The sequence below is a fragment of the Homo sapiens genome, chromosome 6 (genome assembly GCF_000001405.40).
Source record: "Homo sapiens chromosome 6, GRCh38.p14 Primary Assembly".
Classification (NCBI taxonomy): Eukaryota; Metazoa; Chordata; class Mammalia; order Primates; family Hominidae; genus Homo; species Homo sapiens.
Window position 1 is genome coordinate 158,025,657 of NC_000006.12, and position 13,766 is coordinate 158,039,422.

Sequence of the window (13,766 nt, forward strand, 5' to 3'; positions counted from 1 at the left end):
TCTCAAAAAAAAATAGCCGGGCGTGGTGGCTCACGCCTGTAATCCCAGCACTTTGGGAGGCCGAAGCAGGCAGATCACCTGAGGTCGGGAGTTTGAGACCAGCCTGACCTACATGGAGAAATCCCATCTCTACTAAAAATATAAAATTAGCTGGGCGTGGTGACGCATGCTTGTAATCTCAGTTACTCCAGAGGGTGAGGCAGGAGAATCACTAGAACCTGGGAGGCAGAGGTTGCGGTGAGCCGAGATCACACCATTGCACTCCAGCTTGGGCAACAAGAGTAAAACTCTGTCTCAAAAAATAAATAAATAAATAATACATGCATACATACATACATACGTACATACATACATACATACAGGGTACAGCAAACTAATCCGATTGGAAACTGCCGGACTTTGGGGCTAGATGGAGCATGGGCTTAAAGTGAAACCTACATTTTGGCTCCAACACAGACTAGCTGTGTGCTTGGGCGGGTGATTCAGCTTCCCTGGGGGACAGTCATGCGTGTGTGAAATGGCAGTGGTAGCCCTGAGACAGCAGCATGGGTAAGCAGGCTGGCGACGTCATCTGCAAGGAGGTGTAATTAGGAGCACCAGCTCTGGGGCCAGACTTGGCTTGAGAAACTTGCCCAGGCACTGTAGCTAGAAAGTGGATTTGGATCCCAGCTCCCCGCTCTGTCACCTTGGGCAGGCTGCTTAACCTCTCTGTGCGTCTGTTTCCCTCCCTGTGAGATGGGGCTGGTAAGGGCGCCCCTTGCGGTGGGCGGGAGGATGGAGTCCGCGCCTGTACAGCTCCCCTGCCTCCACTGCGCTCACCAGATACCGGCTCTCCTCACTCCCCTGTACCACTCCCGACCCCCTCCTCCCTGGACCCAGGAGCCCCAGTGCTCTGTGGCAATGTTAAGAGCCTCTCCTGGCTGCTACAGTGCTCCTCTCCCCAGCCTCCCCCAGGCCGTGGTCCTGCCCAGGAAATGCACCTGGGACTGTTGCCAGGCACTCAGGCCCCCCACACGGAGGCTGTTGAGGAAGTGGTGCTAGAAATCAGCTCATGACTCTCACGGAGTGATGTCATGCAAAATTTTCCATAGCTCTGGCAGCCACAGGGGCCATCCTCCTGCCTCTCCGAGGGCACTTCTGCTGAACTGTGCTTTTCCCTGCACTGTGTCAGAAGAGGCAGGTGGGTGCCGGGAGCGCTCTGTGGCCAAGGCTCTGATCACAAGCTGCCAACCCCGGAACCCCACCTATCCTACTTGAGAAGCTGAACTCTGACCCCTGTCCCTGTCCCCAGTGTGATAACTTCCTTTGTTCTTAGGTGGTTTTGAGGTGGTTTCCTGAGGATGTGTCTGGGGAGATGTGATGGGATCAACCCCCTGCCCTGCTGGCAGCCCCACCCCATGGCATAGCAGCAGGCCCCTGGGAGCCCTGAGCGCTCATTAAAGGAACGCACTTTAATGACAGCCACACGCCACCCTGCCACAAGCAGCGCTCTTCTCCCTATGAAGTGTGGTGAGGAAATTGGGGTGAGAGGGTGGTGGAACTGGTTGTTTTGGGGGTCTCTTCCTGGAGTGTGGAGAGATCAGAACCATCTCCAGACCATGGCTGTAGACAGCGGCCCTTGATCATTCACAGAAGATCTCGCTGGGCGGATCCTTCAGACCTCAGCGGGGTGGGAAGAGTGTCCTTGGGACTAGAGCCCTGCCAGACCCCAAAGGCCGGTTTCTACCCGATGATCTCTTGGGCCCCGTCCCGAGAGTGAGGCACGGCGCCACCAGGCACCCCCGATACGCAGCGTGTTGTGAAGTGCCCTTGTGAGCAGCGGGGGATAGGGAACAGAAAACCAGCTGTCAGCGACAGCGAGGTGGTGCCCCAGAGAGGGCTGCCTCATTCGCCTGGCTGCAGGGTCCGAGGTCGTCTTGGTAGCATTTGGCAGGAATTTATTTAGGAAGCATTCAGCAAACCGAGTGTGTGTGGTGCTGGGAGATGACGACGAAATGGCCCTGCCCCCAAGGAAGCCCCTCCCCTGGGGGCACAGGTGGGGAGGGAGGTCATGAGCTTTGTGTGTGTGACAACTGCTGATGGGAATGCTATTGGCACGTACGAGGGGTGCCTGTCCGTGTCTTGGGAGAGCAAGGAAGGCTTCCCGGAGGAGTTGCTGCCAAGTTGGCCCAGAAGGATGAGGAGGAGTTCTTCTGGTGAAGTGGGGAGGGCAGAGGCAGGATGGTCCCTACGGAGCATGTGGGGACGCTCGTGTTCTTCCAGAGGATGGAATGCTGGGCCCGAAGCCTGAAGTATTGTTAGGGTAGAGACAGGCGGGAGGTGCGTGGAGAAGGGGTCATGGAGGTCTTGTTGGGCAGATGGCGGTGGGACGTCCCAGGCAGGGGGAGCATCTTGGGCAAGAGCCCAGGGTGCGAGGTCATGCTTATGGCACATTGGACCAGCTGGAGGACAGCCAGCTCAGGAGAGCAGCCGGCTGGGGTGTCTGCCCACGTGTGGGGCAGGGATGGGCTGCAGCGGGGAGGGATTTGGGAGCTTCTGTCGTAGTCCTGCAGGGAGTGGGAGCTGTGCAAGAAGGAAGGGCGGAGCGGCTGTGATCCAATGACTTTGGGAAGGCCACTCCTGTGATGGAGTGGGGGAAGACAGACCCCAGGCCAGGGGTCCTGAGTCAAGGCAGTGGCTGAGGAGGCACTGGGGAAGGTGATTTGGAGAGGCTTTGGGGGTAGGTCCTGGGGGTCTGGAAGGGCTCTAGGCCAGGAATTTTCAGACTCCTGGGGGCATCAGAATCACCTGGAGGGCTTGTTAAAGCAAAGCTTGCCCCCAGCCTCAGGCAGCTGGGCGGCAGGAATCTGCATGTCTAACAGGCTCCCAGGGGATGCTGACTTGCTGGCCAGGGTCCCACACTTTGAGAAGCCCCGCCTGAAGCTTACAGGACAGGGCAGGTTCTTGAGCCATTGAGTTGGGCAATGCCATGGGAAGTTGCAGGTGCACAGACGTTGCCTTCCTGGCTGCGGTTGAACCTGGGCTCCATTTGTCCCCTTGGAGCTCCAGGCGGCCGGGCCGACTTCGACCCTGAGCTCTCCTGTCTGATTTCCTTTCCAGGTGGCACGTCTCTGAGCTTCCTGGTGTTGGTGACAGGCTGCACATCTGTGGGCAGAATTCCAGATGCTGAAATCTACAAAATCACTGCCACTGACTTTTACCCTCTTCAGGAAGAGGCCAAGGAGGAGGAACGCCTCATAGCTTTGAAGAAAATCCTCAGCTCGGGGGTGTTCTATTTCTCATGGCCAAACGATGGGTCTCGCTTTGACCTGACTGTCCGCACGCAGAAGCAGGGGGATGACAGCTCTGAATGGGGGAACTCCTTCTTCTGGTGAGGCCCTGGGTCCCCTGCAGAGGGTGGGCCCTGGGTCTCCTGCAGAGGGTGGGCCCTGGTTGGCATCTGAGGCCTTGACCTCCACTTGCACCACCCCCGGGTTATGGGGCACCTCTGGAGAGTTAGGACCCAGGCCTGCTCTCAGCACAATGAGAGGAAAACTAACCCTGAACTCCCTGCCACCCCCCACCCCTGGCCCCTGGAATGTGTTCAGTGTAGATTTGGAAAAGAAACCTGCGCCAGGCATGGTGCCTCATGCCTGTAATCCCAGCACTTTGGGAGGCTGAGGCAGGTGGATCACTTGAGTTAAGGAGTTTGAGACAAGCCTGGCCAACATGGTGAAAGCCCATCTCTACTAAAAATACAAAAAAAAAAAAAAAAAAAAATTAGCTGGGCGTGGTGGCAGGTGCCTGTAATCCCAGCTACTCGGGAGGCTGAGGCAGGAGAATCGCTTAAACCCAGGAAACGGAGGTTGCTGTGAGCCAAGATGGTGCTACTACACTCCACCCTGGGTGACAGAGCAAGACTCTGTCTCAAAGAAAAAGAAAGAAAGAAAAGAAACCCTGTTCCATAAGTAAAAAACATAAGAGCCGACGTCTGCTGAGTGCTTCCTCAGTCCCGGGTGCCGAGCTCAGTGCTTCTGCCTGGATTCACTCTTTCAGTCTTCTCAATCATGGTTACCTCCAGTGTGCAGCCGTTTACCGCTGATGTTTATAAAGCACTGTGTTCGGGTCACCGTGCTAAGATCTCTCTGCTGGTAATAACTCATCATTATTATAAAAACCTTTATAATAATTATGCGGAGGCTCTGTTACCCCATTTTACAGGTAGAGAGACTGAGGCACGAATAGTCGAGGGAATTTTGCCAAACTCCACACACTTACTAAGTGGCAGAGCCAGGATTTGAACCCAGGCTTTCTGGGTCCAGGTCCCAAGCTGGTAATCACAGTGCTAAACCAGTCCCATCAATGGGGAAGCTGAGTCACCCTGCCCAAAGGGACTTGTAGCAATGCACTAAGACTAGTCCCGGAGCCCAGGCAGAGGCGGCTGGATTTCTGTATGTTTAAGATCTCCTGGTGCTTTTTCACTCCACAGCAGGACAGAGACAAGAGTGGACAACCCTGTAAATACATAAATTATCTATTGCCCTTTCTGGACATAATGCTGTTTCTGTCAGATTCGCACTGATGCCTAGAGATGCCAGGTAGAAGCAAAAGTGAGGAAAGTCCTGCCATGGGAGTCGTTCCAATGAACCTCATCTAATGTAATGTTTTAGAATCCAGTGTCTGCCTTTTGAAGCTATATCAGTTTTCCCAGCTCTGAGACGGGACTCGTGAGGTTTATTTCTGACCTGTTTGTGCCTCTCTCCCTTTGCCAGAGGCAGCCACAGGTTTTCATCTGGCCTTGGTGCTTTGGATTCCCCAGAAGTGAATTCCTGATTTCTGCCGGAAGAAGGGGACCCTCCCCACATCCCTGTGTCCATCCCAACGCTCCCCACCCCCACATCCTCTTTGGTTCTCTGGTATTGTGGATATTTGGGGGCAGTAATGTGCCCAGACTTCAAAATGCACGTGAATCAAGGCTGGGCATGGTAGCTCACGCCTGCAATCCCAGCACTTTGGGAGGCCAAGGCAGGCGGATCACCTGAGGTCAGCAGTTTGAGACCAGCCTGGCCAACATGGTGAAACCCTGTCTCTACTAAAGATACAAAGAAAATTAGCCAGGTGTGGTGGCGCACACCTGTAATCCCAGCTACATGGGAGGCTGAGGCAGAAGAATCGTTTGAACCCAGGAGGCTGAGATTGCAGTGAGCCGAGATCGCACCATTGCACTCCAGCCTGGGCTACAGGGTGAGACTCTGTCTCAAAATAAATAAATAAAATAAAATAAATAAAATCGTGAATCTCATGCTGATCTCATTAAAAATGCAGATTCTGGGATGGCAGGTCTGGGCTGGGCCCAGGATTCTGCATTTCTAATAAGCTGCCAGTGCTGCTTGTCTGCAGACGGCAGGTTGAGTAGCAGCCTCTGGGGATGGCATTTCTGTGAATCGCTGGTTACATTTTGCAGGGCCCAGCATGTGCCCCGCGAGCTGTTACATGTTCCCCTAAAGGCAGCCAAGCTTAAGCACAGAGGGGCTGTGTATTATGAGGTATCTTTGTGTGGAGTCCGTGAAACTATTTTAAACCAGAACTGTCAGGGGAGCAGAGGTGAGAGCTCTCAGCGGCAGTGAGGGTCCTTGGAACCCCTAGGGGATCCTTGGGGTATCTGAATTGCACCAGCACCTTTGCAAGTTCTCTTCCCTATGCCAGCTCTGTGGCTGGAGGTGTGAGGGGCACTAACAAAGCGAGGCAAAGGGGATTCACGAGGTGGAGGCTGAGAGGAGCTTTGGAAGGAGGAGCCCCATGGTGTCCCTTTCTGAAGGGAGAGGAGGAAGTAACTCTGGAGGTCGCCAGGCTCCTCAGCTGTAACACGCCAGGGCGTGGTGTTTAGGCTCAGGGTGGAGCCCCCAGAACTGACCACAACTGAGTCACCACGGGCAGTGTGGTTCTGGGCTTGATCGCCTGAACCCCCACTGTTGTGGCGCAGCGTGAGGTCTGGAGACCCACAGCAGGAGTCAGATGGGGTCAACGCTCAGCGTGGCTGGCACATAAGGCAGAGTGAGCAGCAGGGTGAAGTCATCTTTCTGGGCTGGTAATTGATCACACTGACAATTGCCTCCCAGTACAATCAGGTCCTGGGAGGAAACTCTTTGGGGGTCCTGGATATGAGTCATCCTCCTGCCAGAGGGCCAGGCAGTGTCACTAGAAACAGGGCTGATTTAAGGGTTGTCCACTTGGCAAAAGGTTTCTTCTCCTGAGCCCTGGTGATAGTGGCCATAGCTGTGTAGCTGGCAGACTCTGAAATATTCTGGAGGCTTTGCCTTGATGCCACATGCAGATTTCATATATGTGTTTCGGAAGCTGGCTTATCATCTGAATTTGAGAGAGTGATTTGGAAGAGGGACATGTGTTTTTGTACAGCAATGCTTCAGCAGCATTTTTCAAGCAGAGGAGCGCTGTGGCTGTGCGACCTCAGATGGGGTCAGACGCGGGCTGTGCTCCCTGTGGGGGTGCATGTGACTGTGCGACCTCAGACGGGGTCAGACGCGGGCTGTGCTCCCTGTGGGGGTGCATGTGGCTTTGGTCACAGTCGGGGAGGCTGGCCTGAGAGCAGGAAGCTTGGAGAAGCCCCCTGGGACCCATCAGAGCTCACAGCACAGATTTCCAGCAATGAGAAAATGCTGCTGCTGTCTTTGAGGAAGGCTCAAGGGCAGGAATTGTGTTGCCTTTTTTAAACAAGTAGGGCACTGTGATCTAGATTCACTCAGTGCCCTGTAAGAGGGCATCTCCTGATGATGGGTCCTCCTCCCTGAGAGTGAGTATGGGCCCTCAGGATGGTACCACTCAGGTCCCCTGGGTGCTAAAGCAAGGGGGCCAGGCCAGCTCAGGGATGAGAGAACTACGTGGTCGTTCGCAGGTGCACATGGAAACGTAGGGCCTCATGAAGAAAGGCTCGGCGTGAAGAGCGCGGGCTCCAAGCTCCATGACGCCACTGGCTGGCTCTGTGGCATTAGACAAGCACTTCACTTCTCTGTGCCTCAGCTGCTTTATCTGTGAAAGGGGGTCACTGATGATACCTTTCACATAGGGTCACTTCAAGGGTGAAATGAGTTAATCCACCCCAAAGTACTTAGAATGGGGCTTAGTGCACAGGATAAATGTTGGCTGTCACCCTGTCGTTATCATCATGGACTCTAGAGCCTACAGCAATCCACTAGGCATGGAGAGGGAATACTTGAACTTTCATTACATTTTATTTTCCTCGGATCTTTTTAAAATTTATTTTGGATTGCTTTGTAGCGCTCTCGTCATAATCATCTCATGGTGCATGTGTGTGTATATGTGGATAATTTAAATAACTGTTCCCATATTTAATATGATTTTTAATCACTTATTGATCATGATTGTTTAATAATAAAAGATGATTAATTTTTTACCAATGGGGCCTGCGATGAAAACTGTGGGGCCCACAGGGCTAACCAGAGGCCCCTTTGCGATTCCCCGAAAAGTGCACGCTGGCTCACTCTCCAGCTTTGCTTCCATTTAGCGACAGTGACGACCTGGTAGTGGCTTTGGGAAAGGACTCCCTGGCCATCCTCCTCTACGTGACACAGTGGTCCTGCTATTTGGGATCTCTTTGAAGCACATGAACTTCCCAGATCTGTACAGCCCAAGTGCAGAGTCCACTGGGGAGCAGCATGCATTCGCTGACCCGAAATGCTGCACCGTGCGCCCCCCAGTTCCTCAGCCACACTCGCTGTCCAGGCAGCATGTATTGGAGGATGTCAAGTGACTGGAATTGGTGTGGGACTGTGTTTTGCAGGAACCAGCTGTTGCACGTGCCCTTGAGGCAGCACCAGGTGAGCTGCTGTGACTGGCTGCTGAAGATCATCTGCGGGGTGGTCACCATCCGCACCGTGTATGCCTCCCACAAGCAGGCCAAGGCCTGCCTCGTCTCTCGCGTTAGCTGTGAGCGCACAGGCACTCGCTTCCACACCCGTGGCGTGAACGACGACGGCCATGTGTCCAACTTCGTGGAGACAGAGCAGGTGAGTGCCCAGGCCCATCTGTGGCACCAAATGGTTCCGAGTGGCTGCAGCTCTTGCACACGCGCTTTCCACTTGGGGCAGAAGAGGCCCTGGCATATTTGTGGTGGTCTCTGATCAGGCTTCCTCCTATAAGTGGAGAACAGCACGTGTAATTGGGCTCCACATGAAAATGTGACCTCTGGTTTGCATGGTGTATCCTTTCTGATTCACATCTCATGCAGGGAAAATGCTGCTTAGCCGAGGTATTTTTAACTAAACGGAATCAGGAATTTTTGCCTTGGTCGTGAAAGGTGGGCAGTATTCCAAGGGCAGCTGACAGATGAACAAATAGGGTTTGAAAATCCTTTTAGGACAAAAATAAGTAGATCAATACAATGGGGGGATGAAAGAAGAAACCATTATTTTTTATTCTAAATCAACTGAAGCTTCTCCTGGAAGCCAGTATTAGCACCCTAGAGTTGTGAAATCTGCGTGTTAAGCAGCCGCTCCCATCCGTTCCCCTAGAATATAGCCATCTGCTTAATTTCTCCTGGAGTTTTTTCTAAATTCTGTTCTCATTTCCAGAGATGCTGTCTTACAACTTTTAAATTTTTGCTCTAACTTGCAATCTGTAAGATAAGGCCACCATGTGGAATACAGTGGTGTAAGCCATAAGAAAGGAAAACCCCGGAAGGCACATGTATGGTACTCCTGCCAGGGCAAGCTGGGTGCCCTGTGTTTACTGAGTGAAGGCGTGGCTGTGCGTCCCCCCTCGCTGCCGCTGCTGGGAGAGGAATGCCTTATGCGGACTTTGGCCACTTTAATCCAGCAGAGGTTTGAGCACCTACCTTTACTGTGTGGGACTTTCTGCCTGCTCCAGTGTTCAGAGGGTAGATACAGAGATGAGGAGGCTGCTCTCAGAGTCCCCACTCAGAGGAACATCAGAGCAGGGGGCCCTAAGATGGGCAACAGCTGCAATTACTTGCCTGTAATTCTGCTCAGAATGTCTGCACTGTGGATATCAACGAGGCTATTATGTAAATATCTGGTTAAAAATGAGATTGCTTTTGGCATCTTCGTCATGAAGTCTTTGACTGTTCCTATGTCTAGAATGGTATTGCCTAGGTTGTCTTCCAGGGTTTTTATAGTTTTGCGTTTTACATTCAAGTCTTTAACCCATCTTGAGTTGATTTTTGTATATGGTGTAAGGAAGGGGTCCAGTTTCAGTCTTCTGCATATGGCTAGCCAGTTATCCCAGCACCGTTTATTGAATAGAGAATCCTTTTCCCATTGCTTGTTTTTGTCAGGTTGGTCAAAGATCACATGGTTGTAGGTGTACGGCCTTATTTCTGGGTTGTCTATTCTGTTTCATTGGTCTACGTATCTGTTTTTGTACCAGTGCCATGCTGCTTTGGTTACTATAGCCCTGTAGTATAGTTTGAATTCAGGTAGTGTGATGCCTCCAGCTTTGTTCTTTTTGCTTAGGATTGCCTTGGCTATTCGGGCTCTTTTTTGGTTCCATATGAATTTTAAAATAGTTTTTTCTAGTTCTATGAAGAATGTCAATGGTAGTTTAATAGGAATAGCTTTGAATCCATAAATTGCTTTGGGCATTATGTCCATTTTAATGATATTGATTCTTCTTATCCATGAGGATGGAATGTTTTTCCATTTGTGTCATCTCCAATTTCTTTGAGCAGTGTTTTGTAATTCTCATTGTAGAGATCTTTCACCTCCCTCATAAACTGTATTGCTAGGTATTTTATTCTTCTCACAGCAGTTGTGAATGGGATTGTGTTCCTGATTTGGCTCTCTGCTTGACTGTTGTTGGTGTATTGATTTTGTATTCTGAGACTTTGCCGAAGCTGTTTATCAGGTTAAGGAGATTTTGGGCTGAGACTGTGGTGTTTTCTAGATATAGAATCATGTTGATTGCAAACAGGGATAGTTTGATTCCTCTCTTCCTATTGGGATGCCCTTTATTTCTTTCTCTTGCCTGATTGCCCTGGTCAAAACTTCTAATACTATTAATATGTTAAATAGGAGTGATGAGAGAGGGCATCCTTGTCCTGTGCTGGTTTTCAGCTTTTGCCCATTCAGTATGGTGTTGGCTGTGGGTTTGTCATAAATGGCTCTTATTAGTTTGAGGATTGTGGATCTAACCAAACTAAAGAGCTTCTGCACAGCTGAAGAAACTATCAACAGAGTGAACAGACAACCTACAGAATGGGAGAAAATTTTTGCAAACTATGCATCTGACAAAGGTCTAACACCCAGCATCTATAAGGAACTTAAACAAATTTCCAAGAAAAAAAAAAAAAACATTAAAAACTGGGCAAAGGACATAAACAGACACTTTTCAAAAGAAGGCATACATGCGGCCAGCAATCATGGAAAAAAGCTTAACATCACTGATCATTAGAGAAATGAGAATCAAAGCCACAATGAGCTACCCCCTCACACAAGTCAAATGGCTATTATTTGACTTGCGTGAATATTATTTGACTTGTGTGAAATGAGATACCTCCTCACACAATAATGGCTATTGTTAAAAAGTCGAAAAATAACAGATGCTGGCAAGATTGCAGAGAAAAAGGAACGCTCATACGCTGTTGGTGGGAGTGTAAATTAGTTCCACCATTGTGGAGAACAATGTGGTGATTCCTCAGAGACCTACTCACAATAGCAAAGACATGGAATCAACCTGAATGTCCATCAGTGGTAGACTGGATAAAGAAAATGTGGTTTGTATACAGCATGGAATAGTATGCAGTCATGAAAAGGAATGAGATCGTGTCCTTTCCAGCAACACGGATGCAGCTGGAGGCCATTACCCTAAGCAGACTAAGGCAGGAGCAGAAAACCAAACACTGCATGTTCTTACTTACAAGTGGGAGCTAAATGATGAGAACACATGGATACAAAGAGGGGAACAACACACACTGGGGCCTATCAGAGGGTGGAGGATGGAGGGTAGGAGGAGGGAGAGGATCAGGAAAAATAACTAGTGGGTGCTGCTAGGCTTAATACTGGGTGACAAAATAACCTGTACAACAAACCCACATAACATGCGTTTACCTATGTAACAAACCTGCACAAGTACCCCTGAACTTAAAATAAAAGTTAAATTTTGAAAAATTTTAAAAAGGGGACAGAGAGAGAAGCTGTGGCCCCAGCTGGGTGGTTTTCTCTTTTCTGGCTGATGTCTGCATGGGGAGAGTCCCTTCCCTGCCCCACTTCATTACCACTTGCCTTTTATTTTGAACTTTTATTTAAAATACTGGTTTTGGATTTCAACCAGAATTTTAAGACTTGGGGTCTCATCTATTGCATCTCATCGAGTAAGTCCCTGGGAACCACTGTCCTTTAGCGGCACTGTCCTTCCTAAAACACCGGACATTCTAACACGGAAAATGAAAGCAAACCGCATGCATTTCCTAGGACTGCCCATAATAAAGTACCCCAAACTGGGTGGCCGAAAACAACACACTTATTCTCTCCCAGTTCTGGAGACTGGAAGTCTGCAATCCAGGTGTCGGCAGGACTGCTGTCTCTTCGAAGTCCCCCTGGGGAGAACCCTTCTGAGCCCACCTGACCGCCCCGGCTCTTGGTGGCCTCTGGCAAGCATCTCTCCATCATCTCTGCCTCCGTTTTCGTGTGGCCTTCTCTGCCTGTGTCTCTCCAGGACTCCAGTCGTACTGGATCAGGGACCCACCCTACTCCAGTTGTCCTCATCTTTTTTTTTTTTTTTTTTTTTTTGGAGACGGAGTCTCGCTCTGTCACCCAGGCTGGAGTTCAGTGGCACAATCTCGGCTCACTGCAAGCTCTGCCTCCCGGGTTCACACCATTCTCCTGCCTCAGCCTCCTGAGTAGCTGGGACTACAGGCGCCCGCCACCACGCCCGGCTAATTTTTTGTATTTTTAGTAGAGACAGGGTTTCACCGTGTTAGCCAGGATGGTCTCGATCTCCTGACCTCGTGATCTGCCCGCCTCGGCCTCCCAAAGTGCTGAGATTACAGGTGTGAGCCACTGAGCCCGGCCCAGTTGTCCTCATCTTAACCCATTACTTCTGCAAAGACCCTATTTCCAAACAAGTTCTAAAGTACTGGGAGTTGGTACTTCACCATATGGTTTTTGGAAGGGACACAGCTCACCCTGGGCCGCGGATGCTGGCTCCTGTTAGAGGACTGTGCTTTACAGGCAGCGCCTGTGGCCCTGTGAGAACTCTCGCTGCAATCTTTGCTTTCTCACTTTTACAGACCAACAAGCCCTACCACAGACCAGGCTGGGCCTTGGCTCTGGCCACTTCGTGTCGCGTGCCTGCTGACTGGCGCTTGTCTCCTGTGTTGCCAGCCTGCTTGTTAGAGCTCAGAGGCAGGGACCTTGCCCCCACATCTCCTGAATCTCCCACCTCGGGCAGCCTGGCAAGGCCATAGAGATATGAACAGCCTGCCCTTCCAGCTCCTGGGGTACAGCCCGATGCTGTTGACATTGCCTCCACCTCCCTTCCTTGTCTGGGCTGGGGAGGGATTTCTTGGCTCCCATAAGCCTTTGTGGGCTTCCTAGTGTGTGTGTTTTGTCCTTTTTCGTCCTCTGGGCTCTGGGCTAGACAGGGCTGCTCTCCATGAAGTCCCCACCCAACCTTACTCCCAGGAGCAGCAGTGATTGACAGACAGCTGGGCACCACCACCTGCCGCTCACCCACAGATGCAGCCGCTGCGGATGCTGCCCCCGCCCCACCTAGAGAGCATAACTTAACCCATGGTGACTTCGTTAACAAGAGATGCGTAGCGGGGCCCCAGGAAGGTGGCCCTACACCCACGGTAGCTCTTGGTTGGGTGCCTATGTTTCAGGCTGTGCTGATGAGCCTGGAGGTGCCTGGGCTGGCCCATCCATCGGAGACCCCGGACAGCCTGGCTACCCAGGAAGGGGAGCTGTCACTTCCCAGCGCTGAGTCCAGGGCTGTCCACGTGGGCCTTCAGCAAAGCCTGACTGAGCCTGCCAGGTCCCAGGCTCTGCTCCCAGGTGGGTGGGCATGGGGGGCAGTGGTGGTGTGATGGGGGCGCAGCAGGAGTGGGGCAGGTGAAGCTGGTCCTGCCAGGTGCTGCCGCCCTTCCAGGTGGTACTTCCGATAGGTGGTGTTCGGCTGGTGACCCCTGCCTGGAGGTCGAGGGGAAGCACAGCAGAGCCAGGGCAGGGAGAAGCGTGTGCTGCGCGCAGCCCAGGAAGGAGGGGCATGGAGCAGAAAGAAACACAGGTGAACTGGAAGAGCAGAGAGGGTTCATGCTTCCTGCACACATGGGACCAGGGCATGGGCCTGGTGGGGGGTCAGCATTCCTCCAAGCCAAAAAACACAGGTGTGACAGCCCTTTTTCTAAAACATTACAGAGGCAGCAGGAGCAGAGATGGCTGCAGGGAAGTGACTGTTCCCCAAAAGCAAGAAACTCCTGTTGCCTCACTTGTATAAGCCAAGGGAACCCCTCGCTTTCTGTCTCTGGAGTCACTGAATATTTTTGTTTATGTCACTTTATAGCAGTACTGATGCTTAGGTTGATCTAAGTTCGTTTTTAAAACACAAAACACGTCTTTAAGTGGAATGCACAGTTAGTATGCTCCTGCGAAGCGGCAGCCCCGCTGCCCTCCCTGGCTCTGCGGCCACCTGCTGAGGATGGTTCTTCTAGGATGAGTCAGGAGAGTGGAGCAAGGCTCAGCCTGCAGGTCCTTGCTGAGCTCAGGGAAGCAGCCCCGTGAGGATCGGGCTGC

The 13,766-nt window shown here is 51.6% G+C and overlaps 1 protein-coding gene across 9 annotated transcripts in view, besides 5 other annotated features; it reads left to right on the forward strand.

Annotated features, from left to right (window-relative positions):
- Positions 1 to 13,766, forward strand: part of SYNJ2 (synaptojanin 2) — a 117,881-nt gene that overhangs the window by 44,361 nt on the left and 59,754 nt on the right. For 8 of the 9 annotated variants that reach the window (XM_047419472.1, NM_001410947.1, NM_003898.4 and 5 more), the window contains 2 exons: positions 3,100 to 3,370; positions 7,799 to 8,024. Coding sequence is in view for 7 of the 9 variants with exons in the window: in NM_001410947.1 (NP_001397876.1) it covers positions 3,100 to 3,370; positions 7,799 to 8,024 (497 nt within the window). In the remaining 2 variants the exon portion in view is untranslated. Of the gene's footprint in view, positions 1 to 1,315; positions 1,510 to 3,099; positions 3,371 to 7,798; positions 8,025 to 13,766 lie in introns of all 9 variants that reach the window. The other variant, XM_047419470.1, reaches the window with a different exon arrangement.
- Positions 413 to 1,100: an enhancer, noted in NCBI's record as "H3K4me1 hESC enhancer chr6:158447101-158447788 (GRCh37/hg19 assembly coordinates)". NCBI's record gives its function as "activates a minimal SCP1, AML or CMV promoter by ChIP-STARR-seq in naive H9 embryonic stem cells {active_cell/tissue: H9 hESC(naive)}" and the evidence as "EXISTENCE:reporter gene assay evidence [ECO:0000049][PMID:30033119]".
- Positions 1,101 to 1,788: an enhancer, noted in NCBI's record as "H3K4me1 hESC enhancer chr6:158447789-158448476 (GRCh37/hg19 assembly coordinates)". NCBI's record gives its function as "activates a minimal SCP1, AML or CMV promoter by ChIP-STARR-seq in naive H9 embryonic stem cells {active_cell/tissue: H9 hESC(naive)}" and the evidence as "EXISTENCE:reporter gene assay evidence [ECO:0000049][PMID:30033119]".
- Positions 1,306 to 1,375: an enhancer, noted in NCBI's record as "active region_25346". NCBI's record gives its function as "activates an Ori minimal core promoter by ATAC-STARR-seq in GM12878 lymphoblastoid cells {active_cell/tissue: GM12878}" and the evidence as "EXISTENCE:reporter gene assay evidence [ECO:0000049][PMID:35858748]".
- Positions 5,741 to 6,035: an enhancer, noted in NCBI's record as "tiled region #12557; K562 Activating DNase matched - State 5:Enh". NCBI's record gives its function as "activates a minimal TATA promoter and a strong SV40 promoter by Sharpr-MPRA in K562 cells {active_cell/tissue: K562}" and the evidence as "EXISTENCE:reporter gene assay evidence [ECO:0000049][PMID:27701403]".
- Positions 11,898 to 12,592: an enhancer, noted in NCBI's record as "H3K27ac-H3K4me1 hESC enhancer chr6:158458586-158459280 (GRCh37/hg19 assembly coordinates)". NCBI's record gives its function as "activates a minimal SCP1, AML or CMV promoter by ChIP-STARR-seq in naive H9 embryonic stem cells {active_cell/tissue: H9 hESC(naive)}" and the evidence as "EXISTENCE:reporter gene assay evidence [ECO:0000049][PMID:30033119]".